Genomic DNA, 11,933 nt, shown 5'->3' on the forward strand with positions numbered 1-11,933 from the left:
CAACCCTCCGCATTTTAAAAAATTAATCAAGTTATTTATTAAAAATTAATAGTCTACGCACATTTTAAAATCAATGACCATATTAGATTTACTGGAAAAATAATGTAATTTAATATTAATTTATCACATCCATTAACATGATAATTCTCCACTTATTTGGATTTCCTTTAAGATCAATTCCTAAAATTTTCTATATAGATGGTTTTAGGATTTTTTTTTGTAGCTTAACTACAAGATACTTTGTAGTGTCTCAATTTTTATTACACTTTTACACCTTCAATTCAATTATTGCTGATATGGAAAAACTTTTTTTTCAACATCTATTTTAGATTTAGTGGGTACATATGCAGATTTGTTATATGGGATACTACTTGATGCTCAGGTTTGGAGTACAAATGTATCCATTAATCAGATGGTGAGCATAGTATGCAATAGTTACTTTTTCAACCCTTGTCCTTCTTCCATCCCCCATCTAATAGTCTGTGACTTTGTACTGTTTTCTATTATGAATTGGGGAAAAGCCATTATTATATTAGCTTCAGAACAACTAGGTTCAAGTCATGGAAAACAATTTCGCACAAACAACTTTAGGAAACACTGCTTTGAAAACTGTAATCTGAATTATAGCTGAGGCCACAGAAACCAAATATTTACTGAAGGTTCTTTTAAGAAAAACAAGTTAGCCAGGAATGGTGGCTCACGCCTGTAATCTCAGCACTTTGGGAGGCCGAGGTGGGTGGATCATGAGGTCAGGAGATTGAGACCATCCTGGCCAACATGGTGAAACCCTGTCTCTACTAAAATAAGAAAAAATTAGCCGGGCATGGTGGCACATGCCTGTAGTCTCAGCTACTCAGGAGGCTGATGCAGGGGAATTGCTTGAACCAGGGAGGTGGAGGTTGCAGTGAGCTGAGATTGTGCCACTGCACTCCAGCCTGGTGACAGAGCAAGACTCTGTCTCAAAAAAAAAAAAAAGAAGATGAAGAAGAAAAGAAACAAGTTGTATTGAAAGAGGACATCATTAACAGTATATCTCTTCAATAATGGTTTATTTTACTATATTCTCATTCCTCTCTTACTGTGTCCCAAATCTCTTTACAGGCTAAAAGAAACTGTTCAGAATTAATCCTATTCATAAAGAACAGCACTTACTGAGTATTGCATTTTCCTCTTCAAATTCTTCAGCATACATTGGGACTACACCATATGGACCATTTTTACATTTTTACTTTTGGGTTTTTGTTTTTTTTTTCCTAGAGAAACTGCAACTAGATTTAGGTCCTCATTCTATTAGGTCAGTATTTGTCTAGTAAACTTCAGCTTAAGCAAAATAAAATATGTGTTGCTTTGAACTGAAACTCCTCAAAACCGTATTTTAAAAATTACAGAAAAAATTAAATGAAATTATTATTTTAAAAATCTTGTAGATGAAAAGATATGATATATAGTAAGTTTAAGTACCTATTTCAATGGTTCCCACAGTGGGGCCCTCAGACACCCAGGTCCAAACTATTTTAACAGGAATACTAACATGGCGACATTTGGTGTAAGGGTGCTAATACAATACCGGGTAAAAATGCGGGCAGTTTAGCACAAATAAAGGCAGTAACACCAAACTACTAGTAATCATAGTATTCTTCACTATGCACAGGAAAGGTTTGAAAAAGAAGGGCAGGTTGGGCAGTGTCTCACGCCTGTAATCCCAGCACTTTGGGAGGCTGAGGTGGGAGGATCACCAGAGGTCAGGAATTTGAGACCAGCCTGGCCAACATGGTTAAACCCCATCTCTACAAAAAATACAAAATTTAGCTGGACATGGTGGTTGCATGCCTGTAGTCCCTGCTACTTGGAAGGCTGAGACAGGAGGATTGAGCCCAGAAGGTTGAGGCTACAGTGAGCTGTGATCATCCTACTGCACTCTGGCCTGGGTGACAGAACAAGGTCCTGTCTCAAAAATAAAAAGAATGTCTATGATGAAGCAGTGAAAATTTTACTACATCTTAATCCTTGAATATGTCTTTTTAATATTTCAAGTGATGAAATTGGAAGCACACATGAGCATTCCTACAGACTGCCTGAGGAAAAACCCTCATGTGACTAAGTCTTGAAGTGAATTAACCACTTTAATGGAGTATCATTTTTACTTGAAAGGAGTACTGACAAACAATGTTATTTCAACTGGGGTTTTTGGGAGACATTTTCTCAAAAAATGAGGTTCTGTCATTTCAAGAAAAACAACAGACAGGCCATAATAAAATTCAATAATAAAACTGCTAATAATAAAATTAAAGCTTCTGAATAAAAAATTAGAATTTTAGAAAATATATCCACCATTGCTTTCCAAAAGTATTCTGCTGAGATTGATGGTGATATTGATGAATGTATTTTGATACTGTATAATCAAATGTATCAACATGTAGAAGATCTCGGTGAACCATTATTTTCTAAATGACCAATGCATGATGTTATAATATCATGCAAGGGTAAAAGATCCAAAGTTCAAGAAAAACCAAGTTTTGATGGAGTATCAAAAAAGAAGCCTAGGCAACATGGCAAAATCCTGTCCCTACGAAAAAAAAAAATACAAAAAATTAGCCAGGTGTGGTGATACACACCTGTAGTCCCAACTACTCTGGAGGCTGAGGTGGGAGGATCACCTAAGTCCCCAGAGACTGAGGCTGCAGTGAGCTGTGATCACACCACTGCATTCCAGTCTGGGCGACAGAGCAAGACCCCATCTCAAAAAACAAAATTTATATATATATATAAATATATAAATATATATATATCCACAATGATCTAAAATGGCTATCTGTATGAGATTGGACATTGTTCACATTTCTTCAAGGAAATATCACACAATAAATTGAATGCAGATGAAAATGACATACCAGACATCAAGGAAATTTGCAAAAAATATAAGATTGTGCTACTTTGGGTTTAGAAATTTTTTCATAAAAACATTTATAACAATACGTGGTGAGCTTTTAAAGAATAGTTTAAATATTTCTGATTTAATTTCTAATGATAAATACCAGTAGATATAACCTACATAAACCAAAGCTCCTTGGGCCCTCAATATATTTTTAAGAATGTAAAGGAGTCCTGATTCCAAAACTTTGAGAACTGCTGCCTTCCCCTCCACTTTCCTGCCTTCCCTAGAATTTCTTCCTTGGAAGGAACATCCCTTTGCCATTTTAACTTACAGAGTTCCATTCAGGCCAGTTTTGCTACCTCCCTCCCATCTTTCCACCTCCCTGTCTTGACACAAAATCTGACCAAAGGACTCTACCAGCCCACCCCATTTCCAGTGCTTAGCTGTCAAGGTGGGCTAAGCCAAGAAAATCTGGGTTTTCTCTGAGACTAGACCTCTTTTTCTGGGAGATCTGGAATCACAGGGACAAGGTTGGCCACCTTGGGATAGTCAGAATTCATCTTGCCTCAAAGGGGAGAGGTTAGGCAAGTTTCTACAAAGCCAAACTGCTTCCTAGAAAGTCAAAGATAATTATACTTTGTGCCACAACTGTGAGAATGCCCATTTTATTGCACACTTTCTAACATTTTTACCAAACTGATAAATAAAAGCTGGTACCTAGAAGAAAAAAAGGCCAGGCATGGTGGCTCATGCCTGTAATCCCAGCACTTTGGGAGGCCGAGGCGGGTGGATCACCTGACGTCAGGAGTTTGAGACCAGCCTGGCCAACATGGTGAAACCCCGTCTCTACTAAAAATACAAAAATTAGCCAGGCGTGGTGGCAGGCACGTGTAATCCCAGCTACTTGGGAGGCTGAGGCAGGAGAATTGCTTGAACCCAGGAGGGAGAGGTTGCAGTGAGCCAAGATCATGCCATTGCACTCCAGCCTGAGTGACAAGAGCAAGACTTCATCTCAAAAACAAAAAAAGGTTCCATACAATATAATTTGTTCCATCTCTAGAAACCAATTCAGCAATGAGAACTGAAAGCCACCACTTGGAAGGTTTCAAGGATTTAGCTCTACCTAATGACGTCTAAAGCATTAGTTAAGGTAGAAAAAAATACACACACACACACACCCCTATGTATTTAGTACCAGGAAACATGATGGACTAGATGGTATAGTCATCCAACAGAAAACACACAATAACTGAAGCCACTGTAGAGGAGTAAGTTATGATGTGGATCTACAATATTGTTGAGTGAAAAAGCAGATTACAAAAAAATCTGATTTTTCAAGGGAGAGGGAACACATACAAGCACAGGAGAAAAGAGATGAGCAGATGACTGGAAAAATACAAAATTCTGATAGTGGTACCTTCTGAGTGGGAGAATTATCGGTAACATTTTCTAGTTTTGCCTAAACATTTTCTAAATTTCTTAAAATAAGGCTTTGTTATCCATATTATAAAATATCCACCTCCTCAGGAAACTTAACCTTCAGCACAAATGCTACAACATGTTCAAAGTTTGTTCAGTTTAAGAGACAATCTATTTTGAAAGACATCTAAAATGACGACCAATATTTAAACCTATGCATTAATATTTTTCAATCATATGCTTTAAATTTTGTAATTTTGTTAAGGTTAAGCTTTATATCCATCTGGAAAAAAGTTTTCTATTTGTCTTTAAAATATGACCTACAATATACCAGTTTTTAAACAATGAATGGTGCTCAAAAATTGCAATATAAATTCAGGCAGTGTTCCTTACATAGAATGTTTAAAGGCTTCTAACACTGCTCTTCTTCACCGGTTATGAAAACACATTACCATTATCTAAGCATCTAATTATTCAGGTCCTTTGTTTCTCCTCTATTCTATTAATTTTATAGTAATTTTAAGGCCTGTGAGGATGAAGTTGTCTGTGACAGCTACCACAAAGGTTACTATAAGTGGACAAATTTCAAACAAGTTTATCACCACTACCATCCCCACCATAAAACTGTCTTAATCAAGGGCAACACATTTCAAGGTTAACCAAGACAACCTCTTTACCTGTCACTGCTTAAGAAAAGGACTTTTTGGTCTTATTTAGAAATAACTTTCTCTATCTATTTTTCTCCATAAATCCACTGAGATCAATGTATGGCTCTATCTCAAGCACCAGCAAGCAAAACTACCTGCCAGAATGTGCAGTTTTTGTATCTTTCCAAGTGTAGGACACAGCTATCTTTTGACATCACAATTTTTAAAAAATTGATGCACAAACTTCTTCTTGAACGTTCAGCCAGGCATGGTGGCTCATGCCTGTAATCCCAGCATTTTAGGAGGCTGAGGCAGGTGGATCACGAGGTCAGGAGTTCGAGATCAGCCTAGCCAAGATGGTGAAACCTGTTTCTACTAAAACTGCAAAAATTAGCCGGGTGGTGTGGCAGGTGTCTATAATCCCAGCTACTCAGGAGGCTGAGGCAGGAGAATCACTTGAACCGGAGTGGCGGAGGTTGCAGTGTGACGAGATCACACCACTGCACTCCAGCCTGGGTGACAGAGTGAGACTCCAACTCAAAAAAAAAAAAAAAAAAAAAAAAAAGGAAAAGAAAATAAAGTTCAGACATACAGCAGTTGTAATTCTAAGTTCAGACATACAGCAGTTGTAATTCTAAGTTCAGACATACAGCAGTTGTAATTCCTCTGAAGGCTGGTTATGGGACACATCACTTTCATACTTTGCTGTTCAATAAATGTGGGCTGGAGAATAAAGTAAACTGACAGAATTACCATATAAAATAAAATTCTAAGTGCTCTGACAACAAGAGAACCTTAAAATACACACACACACAGACACACACACAGTTTTCCCTGCTAATCATTTTACAACTAAACAACCAAGTAGCTAACGCAGAGCCCACAAAAGCGGAGTAAAAATTCTAACACTTCGTAAAATAAAAATGCACATATACCCCTGTGATCTAAAAAAAATGCTTAAGTATTCAAAGACAGCAATTACAGCTACTGAGAACATCGTTGTGAGCAAACAGAGGCAGAGAAAACAAAGGTGCTGATGAGGATTTGAAGCACCTAACCTGCAGAAACCCACTGGGTGATTTCCTAGGTTCCAGGGTGGCATTATCTTTCAGAACGATCTTCAAGAAGAGGTCACATGACACTGTTACAAAGGATCTGGAGAAAGAGACCCTTGCTTTATCTCTCCGGCTCTCCAGTCATGCTTCACATTTTCGCTTCTTACACTCTTTCACATGAAGTCCATTTACACACCTCCATCAAGCCCTTAGAGACCTTTTTGCACTATCCATGACAAGTTCTGGATGTCATCTCTGCACTTTTGACAAATTCTTAGCAGTTAACTTACAGGGCAGTTAAGATTTTTGTTCAAGCACAATATAGCTAGAATAGGGTCATATACTCAATAAAACAAATATTTACCAAGCACTTATTGAGTGGAAGATAAAAAGCACAAAGCATAATTACAAAATATTCTCCCCTGCCACCATAAAAGAATTTCTTAAAGGCTTACAGAATATAGCATAACGTGACCAAAACAAAAATAGTAAGGACTGAAGAGGGGAGGAAGGGAAAATATCAGCATGAACTCAATATGACCCAGAAGAGCCTTGATGGTCAGACGTGTAAAGACGAGTTGGGTAGGGTTAAAGGGTGGAGGTCAGGGGCACAGGTCAGGGGCACATTCTACAAGGGAAAAACAGCTGATACAGAAGCCTGAAAGGAAAAGCGGGCAGAGCACCTGTACAGGACTCTTACCTGCGGCATCTACCATACAATGCGCCTTTCCAGAACACAGCAGTGCGCAGCCAGCCCCTGGGGAGAGGGATCACTCAAACAGCACCAGAGGCTGCATTCCAACTTTTCTTCCATCAACGACTCCGTTTTCATTGTTAGTTTCTCCTTCAACACAAACTTGAAACCAATTGGCTGAACACGCGGGAGCAAGGAAAACCTGACTGAAGAATGAGGCGTTAAAACTTAAGGGCCTTGGGTCCTGGCGCGGTGGCTCACACCTGGAATCCCAGCACTTTGGGAGGCAGAGGTGGGTCATTTGAGGTCAGGAGTTTGAGACCAGCCTGGCCAACACGGTGAAACCCCGTCTCTACTAAAAACACAAGTTAGCCAGGCGTGGTGGCGGGCGCCTGTAATCACAGCTACTCGGGAGGCTGAGGCAGCAGAATCGCTTTAACCAGTGGACTGTCAAGAGAGATAGGCTGCAATGAGCCGAGATCGCGCCACTGCACTCCAGCCTGGGTGACAGAGTGAGACTCCCTCAAAAGAAAAAAGAATTTTTTTTTTTTTGAGAGAAGTCTCCCTCTTATCCCCCAAGTTTGAGTGCAACGGCTGGATCTCAGCTCACTGCAACCTCCGCCTCCCGGGTTCAAACGATTCTCCTGCCTCTGCCTCCCAAGTAGCCGCGATTAAATCTCCTGCCAACACGCCTGGATAAGTTTTGTATATTTTAGTAGAGACGGAGTTTCACCATGTTGGCCAGGCTGGTCTCTAACTCCTGACCTCAGGTGATCGCCCGCCTCTGCCTCCCAAAGGGATTACAGGCGTGAGCCACTGCGCCCAGCCAAAATACCGAAAATCTTAAAGGTCTTTCCCCTTCCCCGCCTGGGCTCAAAAAACGCCGGAGCCGCCCTGCACCGCCCTGTCGCGGTCTCCGGAGCAGGCTGGCCGACTGAGGGCGACCATGGGTCCCAAGAAGGCTCCGGCAGTCGCGGGCTCCCACCTCGGGGCGCGGCGACGGGGGCCTAGAGGGGCCAACAGCCCCCAAGCTTACGCCACGCGAGGAGTCGGAGAGACGCGCCCTCCCCTCTCCTCCCACCCAAGCCTCCGGCAGTCCCGGGCCGGGGCTGGGCCAGTTGCGGGAGAAAGGGGCGGGGAACTGGGGCCTCTCTGGGGAAGGCTCCCCTTTGTCCTGGGACTCCGGGCGCCCCCTCTCTGCCCTCGCCCTGCCCCGCGAGGCCGCCGCCGGGCGCCTCACAGTCATGTTGCAGTGGAGCGTGAGCGGGGGCTGCGGCTCCTGGTTCTTGTGGAAGATAGTCCCAGAAACTTCCCTTTGGCCTTGAACCCTGACACGGACATCTTCCACTCATCTACGGCGGGAGGGGCGCGGAAGGGGAGCCTGTCCGGAGCCGCTGTCACGGCCGCGACTACCCAGCGGGGCCGCCCAGCCGAGCTTTCGCGACTCTGCCTCTGCCTGCCGCCTGGACCCTTGTGGGAGCGCGGCTGGAAAATGGCAAGGGCACGGAGGCCTTGGCGGGAGCTGTGTGGCGGCCTGGGGGGCTGCTCCCTTTGTAACCGACTCCACCCACAGGAGGCGCGGCTCCTGTCAAGCCGCAGCTTCAAAGGGCAACATAACCACTGCCCCCACTACCGCCTGGGAAAGGGCTGCCCCTACCCTGCCCCCGTCACCCTCACCCCTCACCCCTCAACCAGGCGGGCCCTGCGCGCACCAGTTTCGGCGGGTGCACGAGTCCAGAGCGTGCGCGCGCTCCCGGCTGCCCCCTCCTCCCTTGACCCAGCACCTTTCTGCCCGACCCATCTGGTTCCTTCCTCACACTCGCCGACTGGAAGCTCAGGGCGGCACAGCCACTAACTCTCTCTCTCTCTCTCTCTCTCTCTCTCTCTCTCTCTCTCTCTCTCTCTCTGTGTGTGTGTGTGTGTGTGTGTGTGTGTGTGTGTGTGTGTGTCCCAAGGGAACAGAGCACTGCTGAGTTCAGGCAGATGATAACTCGTTCCTGGACGGTCAGCAAAATACAGTCCCAAGAAGGCTCTGTGCTGATTTGTCTTTTGCGGTGACATCATGTTGCTCATGTTTTATGTTTTTCGGAGTTCATTAGTTTCTTTTTGTTCTCAGTTAATATCCAGCTCAATAGATTGTGTAAGTAGAATACCCCCAAACTGAAAGTCACCTACATAAAATATAGTGAAAAATATGTCACCCACTTAAACTGTAGTTGAAAACATGTACACTTTAGTTTTGCGTAGTCAACACTGGATCCCAGGGCTAGACTGCCTGGGTTCAAGTTCCAACGTAGCCACTTGCTGGCTGTGAAATACTTGACAGCTTTAAGCCCCAGTTTCTTTTTTTGTTTTAACTTCATCCCGAATGTGATAGTAAGTCTCAGTTTCTTGATCTGAAAAAGAGAAATGATTCAATGAGAGTCTAGTGAAAACTTTAAAGTTTTTAAAGCGACTACCTGGCTAAGGAAAGTCCTCAGCCTTAGCCGTTATTAGCTATGATTATTATTGTGTTGGCTACACGTGCACTAATGAGGCAGGAAAATGCTCAAGGATAACAACCAAGTATGCAAATTATCTCATCAGACCGAGAGGGAGGCATATGTGTGCATGCTCACGTTTCAGCTCAGAGCCCTTTGTCTAGAAGGCTCTTGAACTCAGAGGTCCAGGCACTATCAGCTTTGCAGTGGAGCCATCACTTTTGTTGATCAATGAAATTGACATAATGCTTTTTTTTTTAAAGCACCAACCGTGTGCCTCAAGCTAACTGTCAAGAAAAGCATGCGTCAGTTGGCTGGAGTGAGCAATTCAACTCGTGGAGGAATGAGAAATGTTAGCGTTGAGACGAGAAACATAAAACCCCAGGTTAAGGTAGGAATCACTGAAAGTCAGGCAAAGGAACTGACATCCAGTAATGAGTTAGGCTTTGCCGGGCTCTGGCCCTACAGATGGCTCTTTGGAGAGGAAAAAATTAAGCCAGGCCTGAGGGCACAGATCCTAAGGGAATGCTGGCAGCTCTGGGCTGTCTATGGAAGAGAAGCAGAGGGTAGCGCCTGGTTGAAAGAGGGTGCTGGGGGACATAGCTTGAGCCTGTGTTTACAGATGGAGTCCCCTGATTCCTGAGACTGGGAAAAGAGATCGTGCCCGGATCAGGGGACCTCAAATCACAACTCTTCCCACCCACACCCCTTCTTTTCAGGGCGTCTGTCGCTGCAAACTACAGGTAAACTAGTTGGAAAGCTCCGCAGATTCTCACGGTGGTGCCCAGCAGGCCAGCCCTAGCTGCCCTTTAACCTGTGACTGAGGATGATGCCACTGGCCTGTAAGCACACATTGGAAAATCTTTACACCCATAGACACGCCATGCCCCACAGAGACAGCTGTGCAGGGTTCTTTAGGTTTGGGGTGCTGTGCTGGCAGTTGCCTTATAAATATGTAGGATTAAAATGGGATGCCCTGGAGCTTAGCTAACCTTTATCCTCCCCCCACTCCCCACCCCCAAAATGAAGGGGCTGCTAGTTTTGTTTGCTTTATGAAAGATGGATCTGTCATTGTTTTTAGAACCTTTGGAGAAAGATTTCTTGGGAGGAAGCGATCCTGAACCCCCAGAGATTTTTCTCATTTACTGGCGCACCAGCTTTAGAGTCCTAGGTCTTCATCTTGGCCCAGCCACCCTCCAACTGTGTGACCTTTGAGAAGCTGTTTGACTAAACTGAATCTCGTTGTCACCTATGAGTGGAGGTTGCTACGTTGTTACTGTGTGGAGCACCTACCCCCAGGCACTCTTATAGGGTGATGGTGAAGATTCAATGCAACAATAAGGCGGAAGGAGGAGGCTGGCTTGAAGCCGGGAGTTCAAGACTAGCCTGGGCAACAAAGCCAAACCTCATTTATTTAAAATGTTTATTTAAAGATGTTTATTTAAAAATTAGCTGGACTTGGTGGCTTATGCCTGTAGTCCCAGCTACTCGGGAGGCTGAGGTGAGACCAATTGAGCCCAGGAGTTTGAGGATGCAGTGAGCCGTGATCGCACCACTGCACTCCAGCCCAGGCAACAGAAAGAGACCCTATCTCAAAGAAATGAATAAGTAAATAAATAAATAAACAAACAAATAAAATAATGCATGCAATCGGTACACTAGTACATGCTCAGGCACATGATAAATGCTCGATAAATGGTAGCCCCAGTAAACTTTGTAATGTTTTGGGAGAGGATGTCCTTTGGACTCAGCCCGGTGACAAAAGCATTTGAAAAGACTGATGTGTATGATGGCTATTTCCTACAGGTACAAGTCTGTACCTCCAGGGACCCAAGGCATTGGCTCGACTGGGTAACTTGTTCTGTTTACTCTTGTTTTGGGCAGCACCGATTGCCCTAGGGCTAAGCAGGACTGCCACCCCAGACTCGATTGCCAACAGTATCCCCCTCCCCAAGCTAGCCATGGGAAAGCCACTTGCATCGTAAGACTACAGAAAATCAAAGGGAAGAAAAAGCACAATTTAGTCAGCTACTCTCCAGTTGATGGGCAATAAGTTTTTGCTATTTTGAACAGAGCTGCATGCCTTGTCCACATCCCCTGTTTTATATAGTCAAGAATTTGTCTTGGATGTAGAGTAGAGTTGCTGGGCGGGGAGGAGTGTGAATATTCAACCTTATGAGATGGAGCCAAACTGTTTTCCAAGGTGGTCATACCAGTGTATGCTCCCAGCAGCAGGCAGCAGTTCTTTTTTTTTTTTTTTTGAGACAGGGTCCGCCCAGGCTAGAGTGCCGTGGCACGATCTTGGCTCATTGCAAGCTCTGCCACCTGGGTTCACCCCATTCTCTTGCCTCAACCTCCTGAGTAGCTGGGACTACAGGTGCCCGCCGCCATGCGTGGCTAATTTTTTCTTATTTTTTTAGTAGAGACGGGGTTTCACTGTGTTAGCCAGGATGGTCTCGACCTCCTGACCTTGTGATCCACCTGCCTCGGCCTCCCAAAGTGCTGGGATTACAGGTGTGAGTCACTGCGCCCGGCCCAACAGCAGTTCTTAAGAGATCTCCAGGATCTCTATCTTCTGGTGATGTCACAAGCAGTCAAAAGAATAAAAGCCAGCTATAAGCAACAATAAGAATCTGAACAATATACTATTAAGGGGAAAAAAACAAATTCCAGAAGGATGCATACAGCATACTTTATATAACTTGGAAAAGGAAATGTATATATAGGCCGGGCATGGTGGCTCATGCCTGTAATCTCAGCACT

The 11,933-nt window shown here is 43.9% G+C and overlaps 2 annotated features.

The window, feature by feature from the left end:
- Nucleotides 7,617-7,856: a silencer, noted in NCBI's record as "silent region_6287". NCBI's record gives its function as "represses an Ori minimal core promoter by ATAC-STARR-seq in GM12878 lymphoblastoid cells {active_cell/tissue: GM12878}" and the evidence as "EXISTENCE:reporter gene assay evidence [ECO:0000049][PMID:35858748]".
- Nucleotides 8,287-8,516: a silencer, noted in NCBI's record as "silent region_6288". NCBI's record gives its function as "represses an Ori minimal core promoter by ATAC-STARR-seq in GM12878 lymphoblastoid cells {active_cell/tissue: GM12878}" and the evidence as "EXISTENCE:reporter gene assay evidence [ECO:0000049][PMID:35858748]".

This window comes from Homo sapiens, chromosome 15 (genome assembly GCF_000001405.40).
Source record: "Homo sapiens chromosome 15, GRCh38.p14 Primary Assembly".
Classification (NCBI taxonomy): Eukaryota; Metazoa; Chordata; class Mammalia; order Primates; family Hominidae; genus Homo; species Homo sapiens.